The sequence below is a fragment of the Homo sapiens genome, chromosome 8 (assembly GCF_000001405.40).
Source record: "Homo sapiens chromosome 8, GRCh38.p14 Primary Assembly".
Taxonomy (NCBI): Eukaryota; Metazoa; Chordata; class Mammalia; order Primates; family Hominidae; genus Homo; species Homo sapiens.
Window position 1 is genome coordinate 108,755,726 of NC_000008.11, and position 15,852 is coordinate 108,771,577.

The window sequence follows — 15,852 nt, forward strand, 5'->3', positions numbered from 1 at the left end:
AATACATCTGTTTAAAATAGGAGATACATGCAAAAACGTACTGTTAAGAGTCAGAGTAGAACAAAGTTCAGAGTAGACATTGGATATTAATAACAATGTAAATTTATTGCCATATTAAAATTAACTTAAGGTTTAAATGAGACAGTATAGGCAAAGACAAAGAGAAAATAGAGAAGAAAAAGCATATTATCAGGAATTAAGAAATATAGGAATGGGGGGAATGGGGAGTACTTTTTCTTCTTATTTTACGTTTGCCATTCCCAGAATCAAGGAAGTATATTTTAATCACATGCAAGCATCAACAACAAAATACTGGGTAATAAGAAAATAAAGTACAACTGAAAATGAGAGAGTTTATTTGGAATGAATTTGTTTCTGAACTTTCATAGTTATTTAATTCTATCATTAAAATTTCAAACGATTAGGTTTTATCCACCTCAAAGTAAATGAAAGGCAGCATTCCAGAAATAGTATAAATCCATCTGATGAAACAGAAGTTAGGTTTTACTATGTGTATAAAGTAGAGAACTCTTTTAATATGTGATACAAAGTATCTGATTCTACAGAATTTTTGGACGCCAACCTGTCTTCTTCAGTAAACAGCACATGGAAAATTATATTATGTTTCCCTTTCTAACTTAAAAATAGAAGGTACTAAAATTCTGAATCTGTTCCAGTAAGTGTATTCTTGGTATAGTTAACACCACTGTCTCTTACGCTCCTCAATTTTAGCTCACCTTAGGTCAAATCAACCTGTTCACTCCTTTATAACCTAAGATGCATATCCGCAAATTTAGAGGAACAGAGCAAACCACTGTAAAGAAAAGAAAGAAAGAAAGAAAGAAAGAAAGAAAGAAAGAAAGAAAGAAAGAGAAAGGAAGGAAGGAAGGAAGGAAGGAAGGAAGGAAGGAAGGAAGAAAGAAAGAGAAAGAAAGAAAGAAAGAAAGAAAGAAAGAAAGAAAGAAAGAAAGAAGGAAGGAAAGAAAGAAAGAAAGAGAAAGAAAGAAAGAGAAAGAAAGAAGGGAGGGAGGGAGGGAGGGAGGGGAGGGGAGGGCAGGAGGGGAGGGAAGGGGAGGAAGGAAGGAAGGAAGGAAGGAAGGAAGGAAATGTATCCTTATAAGGATAGATCTGCCATTTTCTTGCTGTATTCATAATGACTGAGTCCATACACATTGCAGGAACTGCAAGAATGAAGTTGAACCAGGGAAAGGGTTTACTTACCTGGTAATAGCATAACTTCTGATGTTGTGGTGCCAATCCTGATTATTTTTCTCAATAGACATCTTCACTGATCACAGACCACAGTAATTCCATTAATCATTTTTGTTTCCTCAGGAGCTAGGGGACTATACCCAAAGGAGAAATAAGATACTATTAATGGAAAAGGATTAGAATATATCCTGTTCTTACAGTTCCTAATTTGAGGTCTACAAGCTAAGCCTTTAAGCCCCAATTTGGGGTCTAAAACACCTCATCCAGGTATTTCTTACTGTTTGCAATAAGAACAGTAATGCTAGATTAGGACCATCTTATCTAGTAGGTAGTAGATGGAGGCTAAATAATTAGGATCATCTTCAATGTGGATAATTTAATGATAACAAATATGTAACCCTAGTTAATAAAATCTTCTTAAAAGAAATAACACTCTTTGTATTCTTATATTCCATCCAATTGTATACATCAATATTTATCTCCACACAGACTGTTCTTAAAATAAATGATGCTTGATTTTTAAATATTATACTATTGTGAATATTTATTCTTTGCTGTTTTTTAGAGATATTCACAAGCTTATATAATAGAGTAAGTTAATTAGTCACTTTTATCTGAGAAAGAACCTTAACAAAGTCAATTTACATGTTTGCTGATATAAATTGCCTCTCTTCTGTGTTTTTTTTAAACAATACATTGCTTTTAATGCCTCCAAGAAGTACCATAGATGTACTTTTAAAATTTATATAATTGCTTTAGAGAAAATGAGCTTAATGACACCATAATTAATAATGCATTTATGTGCTAAATTTCCCTATGACTTCTTCAATGAAGTCTTCTTCACCTCCCTGCTTGCCCTTTCAAATCAAATCAGGAGAAATGTCCCCTTAGCAAACACGTTGTAGCTTACCCTCAAATCTATACTATTATGTTTCTCACTGAAGCTTTGATGTCCTGAAGTCTGCATCTTTCACTCTTCAGTTGGATTGTGTGCTTTTTCTCCTGTGCTATCAAGAGAAATGTTAAATTCTTTTGTCACTTGAGAATTTAAAAATTGAATTTTCAAAGGCAGAACACCTTTCAGACAGTTATGCAGATGCTTTCTTAGAGACATAAGTAACTAGGCTCTATCGTTTAATGAATTCTATAAGAATTTTATAATAACCTACAAGTAAATTTAACAGACTTCCAGTTCCAGAAATAGCTTGGAGAAATGATCCTAAAAATCCCTTTACAAAAATAAATAAATAAAACCACAAAATAAAACAAAACAGAACAAATACATTTTAAAATATAAAGCAGAAACAAAGGGAATGCTGAAAACTAGTAAGCAAGCATATGAACTGAAACTCTGGCATATACCAAAGATCCCTAAAATTTATATCCTCTGTGAAGGAATACATTAGAAAAACCCTACCAAGCACAGAGATGACCAGGAGGCTTAACTCTCTTGACCTCAGTTGGGTGAAGGATAGATACATGTAAAGCCAATTCACAAAACAGGAAGTACAAATGGCCAAGAAATGTATAAAAAGATGTGCAATCACGTTAGTAATGGAGGAAAAGCAAATTGAGACAATAAGAAATATAATTTGCCCCTATCAGATTAGCAAACCTTTTTAGTTGGACAATATTAAGTACTGTGGAGGATGCTGAGTAATGACAGTGCTAATGCACAGCTGATGGGAGAATAAATGAGATCAAAGTGGTATCATTTAGCAAACCTGAAGATACTCACACCCTTGGACCTATCAGAGAAATTATCAGACCAAAGAAGAACAAAATGTTCATTATCATATTGTTTATAACAGTAAAATATTTTAAAAAATGTATAAAACAATATAAATTCCCATCAATGGGATGTTAGAAAAATAAATGGTAGCATATTCCACCATTTACAATGGGTACTGCGTACTATATATCAGTGAAAAATATAAACTAAATCAAAGCTATATAGATAAAGGGTAAATTCCAGGAATAAAACGTGATTTTTAAGAAATCCAGCTGCCAAATGACGATACCATACTACATGATTTATATAATGCTTAAAGACATGTGTCCAAATAATATATATAGTGTTTATTTAAAGTAAATGTATAAAGCATTCATAACATATGTAAAATGCATCCATAAAATCCATGTATTAGAAGTAACAGTATTAAAAATTGTGGGAATAATAAATTTAATATGGCTATAATCTCAATGGAAGTAAAAAGGGGTATGAGATCGAAGAGGGGTAAGATAAGCTACAATTCTAATCTGTACTGCCTTGTTTATTTTTTAAAAAACACAATTATCTGTAACAGTTGTGAGGGTGGATTAAGTATTAAGAAAAGTGAACTGTTTCATCTGCTATTGGTGGAAGGGTAAATTCCAATGTCTTTGGAAGGCAATTTGACAGTATCTATCAAAACGTAAAATGCATATACCTATTATTCATCAATTATATTTCTAGTAATTTATTCTATGAATATATTTGATGTAATAAAAAGGTAAATATAGAAAGGTATGTATTGCAGCAATGTTTGTAATAGCAAAACTTTTGAAACAACTTAAAAGGGACTGATTAAATAATGATATGTCCATAAAGTGAATATGCAAAATGAATGGGGTAGCTCTCTAATGGCTGAGAAGAAAAGATCCTTGATATAAACTGAGTAAAAACAAGCAAGGCAAAGAAGAATGGCACTGTATGTACACAGATGTGGTCTCATTGGTGTAAGAAATATATATGCTTAGAAACAAATCTGTGTAAGCATATCCATGAAAATATTTGGAAGTTTACATAAATTGTTAAAGACAGATGCTTCTATGGAGGAGAACTGAGAGAATGAGGTGGAATGAGATTTAAATTTCATGGTATATGCTTTGTACAAAAATGGGTAAGATAAACGTGCTGGGTTAAACCACTATATATTTTGACCTGTAATAGGAAGAGTTTCACACAGTTCAGTCGTCTAATATGCATGATGTAAAGCATGGCTTAGAAGGCTTCCACTATGAGTCAGGTGGATTACTTGAGGTCAGGAGTTGAAGACCAGCCTGGCCAACATGGTGAAACCCATCTCTACTAAAAATACAAAAAATTAGCCAGGTGTGGTGGCACATGCCTGTAGTTGTAGCTACTCAGGAGGCTTAGGTAAGAGAATCGCTTGAAGCTGGGAGTTGGAGGTTGCTGTGAGGCAGGATTGCGCCACTGTTCTGCAGACTGGGAGAGAGAGAGAGAGAGAGAGAGAGGGAGAGAGAGAGGGAGAGAGAGAGAGAGAGACTTCCACTATGACATTCAGAGCACTTTGACAAACAGACCATATAATAGGTCTGAAGGCCTTTTTGCTTGATTGCAAGTGGAACTTCCAGCAGCTTAGGTGAAGCAGAACAAGGGTCAGCCAGTCTCTTGGGACTGGTGATCTGGGTTGAAAAGCCAAGTGCACCAGGGTAGCAATGCGCGGTCACAGAGGCTGTGCTGGGCACAGAAACGATCTGAAGAGATGAGTTGCCAGTAGCAGAGCTTGACGATTATTAGCAAGCCTGTTCTGAGTGCAGTTTTAACAGAATGCATCTATTGGCAGGAGTGTGAGAGGCAGCAAATGCTTGTGGCTTGTTCTTGCTCTGACTGCAACATTAACTCAGCTTTACTTGGATGACTGCCAAGGAGAGCTTCAGGAAGCTCTCCTTGGAAGAGATGCAATTATCCCCTTGCCCTTTTTCAAAATTCTCTCATGTCACTTTGTAGTCTGGCTGTAGCAATGTCATGCCTGATAGCTGGTGTCTGATGTGAGCCTTAGCCAAGGGTGTCATTACCTGGAGAGGGTACAGCGATGTAACCCTACACCATGATCTATAGTGAACCTGTGAGTGCTACAACCCCAAGCTTTTACTGGTTCAACACTGAAGCCAATCTGCCAGGCAGAAGGGAAAAGAGATGATTTGTTTGCTCTGGGATTGGGTCATTGCTGGCTGACTCTGTCAGTTAAAAGGGCCTCCTCTAATTGCAGTGTTCTCCTCTTGTACGGGGTTCTTTTTAAGTGGTTTTGGAGTGTGTGTGTGTGTGTGTGTGTGTTAAATTTTATTACTTTTACTAAATTTCCCTCTATTTTTCCCTTGCAAGAGAATCTATTAAACTAATTGAATTTATTTACCTTATTTTGGTTTCTATTCGTTCATCAATTCGTTCCTCCATCAATCCACTAAACATCACCAGTATAACTGAAACTAAATATTAGACTCTGGGGATGAAAAGCGGTACACTATAGTGGTTAGAAGCATGGTTTCAGGAGTCAGGAACGTGGGCTCTATCCAGGATTATCCACTTACTTGATCTTACATTAGGTTTTCTAATCTCTTTACACCTTGGTTTCCCCAACATATAAATAGAACCTACCTCATAGTGTTATTATAAACATTAAATATCAATATAAAGAGATCTGCACAGAGGATGAAACACAGTAAGTCTACAATACATGTAAACTTTTATTAATAATGATCTATGAAAATTGTTTATTTTATCCTTACAAATGACAGCCATAGGTACAGTTCTGTACCTAGGCCATGTCTGAAACAAAGATGCAGTTTCCATCTTATTAGAGAGGATATTTTAACAGGCTCTAAACTGAGCCTCTTATTCGTGTTCAGGAAAATCATCTGAGGCTGGAGATGGATAGTCTCATATCCAAGGTCTTTGTTCAGAGAAGCCACAGGCAAAAATATGTTACCCTCTTCCTATTCTCCTATCTGTCCAAATAAAATGCAGCTTTAATGCTCTTCTGGGTGGTATAACTGAGTTTTTTCTTCTCTCTTTAGTCCTTGCGTGAGGACATTTATAACATCAACCAATCTTTCAAAAAGCTAGGCAATTCCCTTATGAAATATATTTCAAGGGTTTATTACAAAAAATATACAAATAGCTCTCTGTTCCAAAAAAATTCGTCAAACACTGTGATTTGCTATCAAGTCACAACACAAAACAGACCCGCCACAGGGCTTGGAGCCCTCCTGTAAGGTTTTGGAATAAAGACCCTTAAAGACTCTTTCTCCACCTAATGCAATCCCTCTTACACTTCTGAGCTGATCAGAATTCAATCCAGCGAAGTTTAGAAATAATTTAATAGTGTTTCATTCTTCCTGCTATTAACACCAGAGGCCAAAGTTGACAGGATAGACATCATCTTCAATAAGATTTTGAGGCAGAAACAACTGTGCTTCATGAATGAAAGCCTCTTTGCCCACAAATAAACTTGGCATAGACTATCATCTCCATTTCTCCAATTGCACCTAACTAACATTTCAGAGATTCAAATAATACAAATATATAATACACTTTGACATGATGGATTCCAGCTTCCAACATGCTGGGTTTCCTGTGACCTAAAGAAAATACTCTGAATTATTTCATGCCTTCTCTTAAGGACAAATAGCTGATTCTCATGAATAAGCTGAAAATCCTCAAAGCACAGTTAGTAATATGCAGGCTTAGGACTTAATGTCAGCTCCTCATTTTGTGTAATTTCTTAATGTGTTCCTGTTTTCAGTTCCTTTGTTTATCTGTCGTAAGTATTCAGGGATTTTGAACTCAGCCCCATGGGTAGAACCTACCTTGAATGTGTCAAAATTCAATGACCAACAGCATTTATCTTGTCACCAGTCAAGCTTCAGGTCTCAGCTCCAACATCATTTCCTTATATATACTTTTTCCCCATGATACATTCTCATATCTCCCCATCTTTTTCCTTTCTTGTACCTATCATTAATTCGAATGGTACTCTTATGTAATTATTTGATTCATACCTGTCTCCTCTACTAGATCCAAATTTAATAGAAGGCATAGTGGTATGCACTTATAATCTCTGCTACTCAGGAGGCTGAGGTGGGAGAAGCGGGAGAATTGCTTGAGACCAGAAGTTTGAGGCCAGGCCGGGCAATGAAGTGAGACCTCCTCATATTTAAAAACAAAACAAAACAAAACAAAAAACTCCTTGAGGACAGGTAGCTTCTAGTTTTGCTTTGTTTACCTTTATATTCCATTGCTTAGCAAAATCTCTAGAATTTAGCAATCAATAAAAATTATTAAATAAATGAAAGCACACATAAGAATAAATTTCCTCCAAATTGTTTTCTTTTATTTTACCTTTCCACAGTCATTCCCATATTTCTTTATGTTCATCTAATCCATATTTCATGGAATGAATTATCCCATGCATCTGGCTGAATCCCAATTAAACCTTTCCTCTCTTCCCATTGATAAGTTCAGGAAACCAACCCTTTTCCCCATTGTAACATTCCCATCTATTATGCCTTAGACCATCCCACATAAAGTAGATGTTGTGAGTCAGACACAAGGGAAAACAGAACCCAAGGAGGTAAAGGCAAAGAGATGAATGAATTTTAAGTAATTCTGAAAAATGTTAACTGTGCCTCTAAAGCACTAAAAATCTTTTCCTGAGATTTAGCCATATAAACACAAACCTAGGCATGAAATAGTTTGCATAGTACTCGTATGTTTAAAATACAATTCAACTGTAATATTCACCAATTTTGGAGATATTATAAATAACATAAAAGAAACAATTGACGCTTGGCATTTGAATTTAGTATCTGTGGTTTAGATTATTTGGGAATGACCATGAATACCACCAAGAAGTATTAATTTATACCTTGGGTAAGAATGTCTGCCCTTCATTATGGTGTTTAGAGTAATAAGTAAACATATGTCAGCACTTAGCACAAAGCAGATGTGCAAGGCACCTCTCTAGTAAAAGATCTAATTATTTTACTGGTATTCTTATTTTAATTAGTGAAATTCCATATCTGAATTAAAAGCATTCTTGATTTGAGAAATTATAACAATCTCCAGAGTTATTCCTCAGCCTGGTATAGGCTTACTGACAATTTGCATAGTCTCAGGATTAAACAAAAATTCTTCCAACTTTTAATATTACAGGTTTCTGATTATTTAATCATTCTTTCATGCACACAGCTTGACATAACAGTATTTTGGAAAAGAAAGTAAAAGAGTTAGTGAAAAGCCTCCCAGTGGGAAAACAATTAGTAAACATGGATTTTTACCTCCTTTTTTTCCTTTTGTATCAACTCTAGAGGGTGGAAGTTCTGAGAATAAGTGAGCCTTCAGAAACTGCCATTTCTACACATAGAGGGAAAACTTGATAGCATTTCACTTGGGGCATTCAATTTATCTCTTATCTCCACAACACAAACAAGATAAAGGAGAGGATGTCTCAATGGCAGATTCAGTCTAATTTACAGCAATGGCATACCAACTGCAAGCAATGGGAGAAGAAAGACTAAGTTAACAGTGCAGGTGGCATCTGTAAGCCTTAGAGCTTTGATAGAATTTCAACAGGCTGGACATGTTCTATAGTCAGGACTAAACAAACAAACACTAAAACTAAAACAAACAAAAACCTCAAACATTTGTCAATGATTAAAAATGTGTCTTTCCTAGAGGGATAAAGGGAAAGGAAGGGTTAAAAAGGTGAGAATAAAGTTCTGGTAATAACTGATAAGCAGGAGAATGAGATTAAATAAAAGAGTAAATTCCTGGATGCCATGTACATTTTTTTCCTGTTCTGAAATAGAGAGTGCTTTGAGTTTAAGATGAGGATAATACCTTATTCCTCTGTATGCACAAGTTGGTTTGAGACAAAAGGCCCTGCCTCTTCCTGCTGCATGCCATTCTAAGAGACAGTATTTCTTTATGCTGCGGTTGTGCATTAGGCTCAGCTGGCGGAGGTCATGTCTGAATGGTGACAGAGGGAATATGAGCTTGAACTGCTATTCAAGGAAGGATAGCTCTTCTTCCAGCTCATCCACTCTGTCTTATCTCCACTTACAATTTGCTGGCTGCTAAAAATGCTTGTATCTGGTCTTTAAAAACATTCTTTACTCTCGTAGGCAACTTAAGGAATAAGATTAGTCCCAGTTTCGCCAGATATGAACTCTCTGCCTCATTATCCAGCTGCAGAAAATCCATAAGAACTCAATGAAGCTGAGTTTATCAGTCTTCATCCACTCGCTATATCACATTTTTAGGGCTCTGATGTGTCTGGGCCTTCTAGTCTCTTCCCCTTCCGTTTTCAGCCTATCAAGTCAATGTGGTTATCATTTTCAGGCACACAACTTCAACACATTCTCTGTGCTTGATTAACTTGTGGTTGGAAATAGGTGTAAGAAATAGGTGCATAGGTGCACATTTGCTGTTTCTACACTAAAGACCTTGGCACTGAGTTCCAGGTTTGAACTGGTGATCAGAATTTAGACAATTCTGAGAAAAGAGGTTCAGGTCTGACAAACCTGCCTTACTTAGAGTACTCTCTGCTCTCACTGTCAGTGATACTGGAATTTTTAGTCAAGATTCTGAGAGGCTTCCATCATCCTGGACTTTAAGGGATGGTGATGAGCTTGGGGACCCCATAGGCAACACAACCTAACTAAGGTCTTAGCAGTTTGGAACTACTTTTTTTTTTTTTTTTTTAGATGGAGTCTCACTCTGTTACCCAGGCTGGAGTACAGTGATGTAATCTCAGCTCACTGCAACCTCCATCTCCTGGGTTCAAGTAATTCTCCTGCCTTAGCCTCCCAAGTAGCTTGGGATTACAGGCACGTGGTACCACACCCGGCTAATTTTTTGTATGTTTAGTAGAGATGGGGTTTCACCATGATGGCCAGGCTGGTCTCAAACTCCTGACCTCAAGTGATCCACCCTCCCAGCCTCCCAAAGTGCTGGGAGTACAGGTGTGAGCTACTGCACCTGGCCATCTTTAGTTACTTTTAACGTTAATAACAGCTCAAGATTTATCACATACTTAACAATTTATAGAGACAATTTTTAAACAGATTGACTGTACATATTGTCCTAAATTATTATACTTACATACAATAAATGGAATGATGTATCCTTATCTAAATCTAAAGTGCTCATAAGCATTTTGACAAATTTTTCTTATTGGGGGAGGCTTTCTCTCTAAATGTGAAAAAAAAAGTGTGTAAGAACCAAACTGTTTTGTTCATATCAGAGCTTTGGAAAAAGCAAAAAGTATATCGGCAGATTATTTTCAGTAGCATTAGCATAATCTAATTAACAATGAAAATACTTGCATTTACTGGTATTCCCTAATATTTAAATAGGTATGGTTAAATGACCTCATCCAGCAGGATTTTAAAAGAGATCATATTTGAAGGTGTCCAGTGAAAGCAGCAATGAGGGATAACTTTATTATTATATTATTAATTTGGGGGTTATTTCTCCTTTCCTTCCTTCCTTCCTTCCTTCCTTTCTTCTTTCTTTCTCTCTCTGTCTCTCTCTTTTTAACTAATCAAAAGAGAGCTGAAGTATTGAGTTATTTCATTTGGATCTTATGGGTTCATGGGAATGTTCTTTGTAGAGGCAATAAAGAGTTTGCTTTTTTGGCTGGGATGACAAATTATTGAAGTTTCCAAGCCAAAATTATATTCTTTAACCTTCAGTGGTAAAATTCTGTAAGGGATTAAATAGATTCAAAGTAATTTTCCAAGTTAGAAGGACCTTTACAAAATTTGTAGAGGCCCTCATTCATGGAAACATGGTAAGGTCTTCCACGTGGGCCACCATAAAATGTGCCTCCAAAACTTTCACAATAGAGCCTCAACTCTTCTCCCATAGGTCTTTGCATTAGTCAGGGTTCTCTAGTGGGAAGAACAAATAGGATACATGTATATATGAAAGGGAGTTTATTAAGGAAAATGGACTCACACAATCGCAAGGTAAAGTCTCACAGTAGGCTGTCTGCAAGTTGAGGTGCAAGGAAGCCAGTGGTGATCAGTCCGAGTCCCAAAACCTCAGAAGTAGGGAAGCCGCCAGCGCAGCTTTCAGTCTGTGGCCAAAGGCCCAAAAGCCCCGTGGCAAACCACTGGTGTAAGTCCAAAAGTCCAAAAGCTGAAGAAGTTGGAGTGTGATGTTTGAGGGCAGGAAGAGTCTAGCACAGGAGAAAGATGAAGGCCGGAATACTCAGCAAGTCTGCTCTTCCATCTTCTCCTGCCTGCTTTATTATAGCTGCATTGGCAGCTGATTACACGGTACCCACCCAGATTGAGGGTAGGTCTACCACTCCCAGTCCACTGACTCAAATGTTAATCTCCTTTGGCAACACCCTCACAGACGCATCCTGGAATAATACTTTGCATCCTTCAATCCGGTCAAGTTGACACTCAATATTAACCATCACAGTCTGAAACCTGAAGAATTTGAAATTTCCTTTCATCTATACACAGAATGTCAAAAACCTAAACACTCATCAGAGAATTCAACAACAAAAGAGTAGAGATTCAGCAATTTTGTCAGAAGCTTGCTTCAAAATATTTAAGATGTGAGCATTAGCAAAACATGTTCACTATCCAATCCTCAAAAGATTTCTGGCCCCATTCCTTTAATTATCATCAAAAAGCAACCTACTTGAGCCGTGGTATCTTAGTTTTCTGAAAAAAAGTATCTTCCCTTTGGACTCAATATTATGTCTTTAGCTTTTAAATAGGGTCAATATAGGAAGGATCCATTTTGAGAACATTTCTGTAGCTTTGGTAAAACCATTTTTCACTGTTGCTCAGTGTCCTTTATATACAGATCTGTGTGACAAATTCTCCATAGAATTTTGTGTCAAGAAGTGTTTCTCTCCCTAAATTAATACTGACCTTCATTTTTATCAAATACTTTGTAACTTTGATCAAATATTCTTCACCCCTTCTTAATTTTAACAGAAATCTCAAGTTAACTTAAACTTGTATTGGGGTTATTGACTAATTTCAGGGATCTAGTTACTTATATTTTCTTCTCTTTCTTATCAATTTCTAATTAATATTTTTTATTATTAAGCTTTGGTCTAACATCTCAATTACATCAATTCTTTTTGAAACAGATGAGGTATAAATATAGTGACCATATACCGTTTTTTTTCAGGGACATTTTGATTTCAAGTGGCTTTATTCTTTTACTCAAAGAAGATTAGTTGAAATCAAATGATACGCTTCCACATGTATTTGTAAAAATTTCATGAAAATAAATTCACTGGCCATTGGAAATCGGAAAAACTCTGGATCCCAATTTTGGGCTGAGAGAATATTGTCACAAAGCTTTATATCATAAATAAGCCCAGCCTTACTCCAGTTCTCCAGACCCATACTTCCACTGACCATTAGCCATCTTCACTTAAGTGTTCCCCACAGACCTCAAACTCAACATATCCTTCCCATTAAATCTTGTGCTTTTTCCTAAGCTTTCCATACCTTGGCTAGTGACTAATAATTCAAGCAATTTCCTTCACTGCTCCACCCCATTCAAATTAACCATCAACTTTATTGATTTGATCTTTGAAATGACTAATTTATTGCCTCCTCTTGGTTTCTCTCTTCGACATCCTAATTTATTATTTATCTCTGGACCCTTCCTAATCTTCCCAACTATCCTCACCTACTTTTCCAATCTCTTCTCGATCCTATCATCTGAGTGTTCTTTCTAACATTAAAATCTGATTATGCTACTTTCATTTTAAAAAAATGAGTAGCTCTTGCATTATCTACAGAAAAATTCAATTTATATAATCATGACATACATAGGTGTTGTCTCTGACAGCAATACCACCAGCTCCTCCTGTAACCCAAGTGTTGTAGACTTTCACACCCGCGTTTCCCTCCCCTGTCATAGCACAACTCTCTTCAATTCCCACCTTCCTCTGGTAGGTCTGGGAAAAACTGAAAGTGAGCCAGTGCATATGAGGGTCCGCTTTTCTGCTACCATCAGCTCCTACCTGCTGCTCTCAGGTCTGGCTCAAACCTTCACCTGTTTCCCTAAGGATCATGGAATTCTAGAACAACCATCTCCCTCAACTGCTGTCACCTTTGCCAAGTAGACCTCAGTAGAAGGGTAATTCCAAGGGGCATGCCTTCTTTTCCATGTCTTATCCTTAAATTTCCCATGGACCCTTTGACCTGAGGCTGTTACGTATGACTGACTTGTATGCAAGGTTTGAAGATATTGAGAGAAAATATACAGAACAATTTGGAAGAGGGAACAGCTTAATATTAAAAATGTCACGTGAGGCAGGGCATGGAGGCTCACGCCTATAATCCTAGCACTTTGGGAGGCCGAGGTGGGTGGATCACTTGAGGTCGTGAGTTCAAGACCAGCCTGGCCAACATGGTGAAACACTATTTTTAGTAGTAGTAGGTTACTACTACTACTAAAAAAAAAAAAAAAATCTGGGCATGGTGTGTGTTGTGCCTGTATTCCCAGCTACTCAGGAGGCTGAGGGACGAGAATTGCTTGAACTGGGAAGCGGAGGTTGCAGTGAACCAAGATTGCACTACTGCACTCCAGCCTGGGTGACAGAACAAGACTCTATCTTACACACACACAAAAAAAGTCACATCATAGATCTTCAAAGTCCTTCAACCATCTTTGCAACTGAGAATTTCTCAGCAAGCGCACTTTTCCTTCTTAAGCCTCCACCCACAGCCACCTTCTTGAGCCCTCTGCCTCTGTTCTTTTCTCTCTGCTGTCCTCTTTTCTCCCTAGTTGCCTGTGCCCGACCCTCAAATTCTTCATTATTTCTCATATAGAGTAGTGGGTTGTACTTTCCACTCTCTCTCTCTGACCCCAAACTAGGCCACAGCTTTCTCTTTATTTATTATTATTATTTTACTAAATAAAGGGACCGTGTACTTTGGCAGAGACATTTGTCATTCCACTTTTTCCCTTTACCACACACAGATTATATTCCTAGCCTGGGCTTCTCTCTCTACTACTTTCTGTAAGCCAAAGAGGAGCAATATATATATTTTTTTAATTCACTGCCTTTCTAAAACAGGTGCACAATGATCATTTTGTCCCCGTAGAGATTCAATCTTAAGATATGTGTGAATTCCTTTCTGAGTTTTATGAGTTTTCCCTTCAACAGTCTCACAAGAAGTGCTTATTTGTTATCTATTAACACTTTTTGGGGCCAGTTTCCAATTTCCCTTCTAGCATCTTTTTTTTTTTTTAAACCTGGTATTACAGTGCCCTACAAATATCTTTTATGGAGTTTTATCACATCATATCTTAGCTTTTTATTGCTGTTTCCTAGGTAAAATTTTTCATTACTTACTTAGTCCTTGTTTCATTGGACTTTCTCCATAGATCAATAGATCTTGTCAGAAATGTTCCCACCTACCAAGTGGCTCATGGACAGCCTTTGTGAATATGACCAAATACAGAGAGGAGGAGAAAGAGGAAGTTCAATTTGTGAGTAAAAAGCTACAGAGTGGGTCCACTGTTATAAGATAAAATGATTCCTTTTAAAAAACTGGTATGGTTTAGTACAGTGAGAAAAAATAGCAATTATTATACTAAATTGTTCTTCTACTGCAACTGGATAGAGGTCAACAACAACAAAAACTTCCCAGAATCTTATAGGCCTTTTAACAAATTTGAATGTTTTTATTGTTAAACAGATATTTATTTTTCCTCTGATGTATATAATGACACAAAACCTAAACTCATAAAAACCCCAAAAGAAAAGGAAGGAAAATGGATGAAGTACAGTTCAGCACAAATAATGCCATCTAGCTTCCACATAAATTATTCATGGTAGCTATTTATGTGGTGTAATTCCTATACTTACCTGACAATATGCTGACAGGTTCTTCTTTCTACTCTATTTTCCTCAGTCGGCTTATTCAAGTCTGAGAAGAAAGGTAAGAGAACAGCAGACTCTCTCTCTTCTTAGAAAGTACTTGGATTATGTCTCAGTTGTAGAAAAAAATATTAACATATTATATTTACAGGAAGCAGTCTCATTTTTGTGGCTCCTTTAAAAGATGAGAGCATAAATGTAAGTAAAGGACAAACTGGGTCCTCCCACCTTGCTTCATGATTTCATGAATCACTGAATCCTAGGCCTGGAAGGGACTTTGAGAGCCTCCTTCCTACCCCTACCCTCCACATGAAGACATGAGCTGTTCAGAGGAGAATCAATCCCATTTTTCTGGTCTCACTGAGAAGGTCCCACATCGTCCCTTGTCACTCACTCCAGTGTAACAATCCTGACATCAGAATAGTCTTCCTGATGGATAACTGAGTTCTTCAGGTTGCTTTCTTATCCTCTTATATTAACCTGGGGAGGTCAAGATAATTAATTCATACTTTACTATTTTCTCTAATTAGGCATTATTTTATTTTGTTTCCTCATTTCAAAGTTTTTCACTGTCATAGCATAGTTAAGTATATGGACTTAACACCATATACTAGCTGTGTGACCTTGGGGAAATATTTTAACCTCTCTACACTTCAATGTCATCATCAATAAAATGGAGGTAACAAAACTACCTACCTCATAGGGAACTTAGGAAGATTAAATTAAATGAGTTAATATTTGTAAATTCCTTGACTCAGTGCTGATGTATAGTGTTACATAAATGTTTGCTAAAAAATTTAAAGCATATTTAGAAAAAAGGAAAGACAAATTTGGAATATATAACAAAATACAAAAAAATTATCAATAATTTTACTGCAGAGATAACACTGTTTATATTTCAATATGTTTCTGTCTGGTCTTATGTATATATAAATCACATATATAGCACATAATTGGGATGATGCTATATTTGAGAGAAAGC

The 15,852-nt window shown here is 36.6% G+C and overlaps 1 protein-coding gene and 1 long non-coding RNA gene across 2 annotated transcripts in view; both read right to left on the reverse strand.

Annotated features, from left to right (window-relative positions):
• The window catches only part of TMEM74 (transmembrane protein 74), a 180,745-nt gene that overhangs the window by 148,876 nt on the left and 16,017 nt on the right, over positions 1 to 15,852 (reverse strand). The gene's annotated exons all lie outside the window — the stretch shown is intronic.
• Positions 1,136 to 15,350, reverse strand: LOC102723368 (uncharacterized). The gene is made up of 3 exons (XR_428397.5): positions 14,859 to 15,350; positions 2,123 to 2,219; positions 1,136 to 1,346 (listed from the first exon to the last, which is right to left on the reverse strand). It is a non-coding gene; the product is annotated as an uncharacterized LOC102723368 (long non-coding RNA).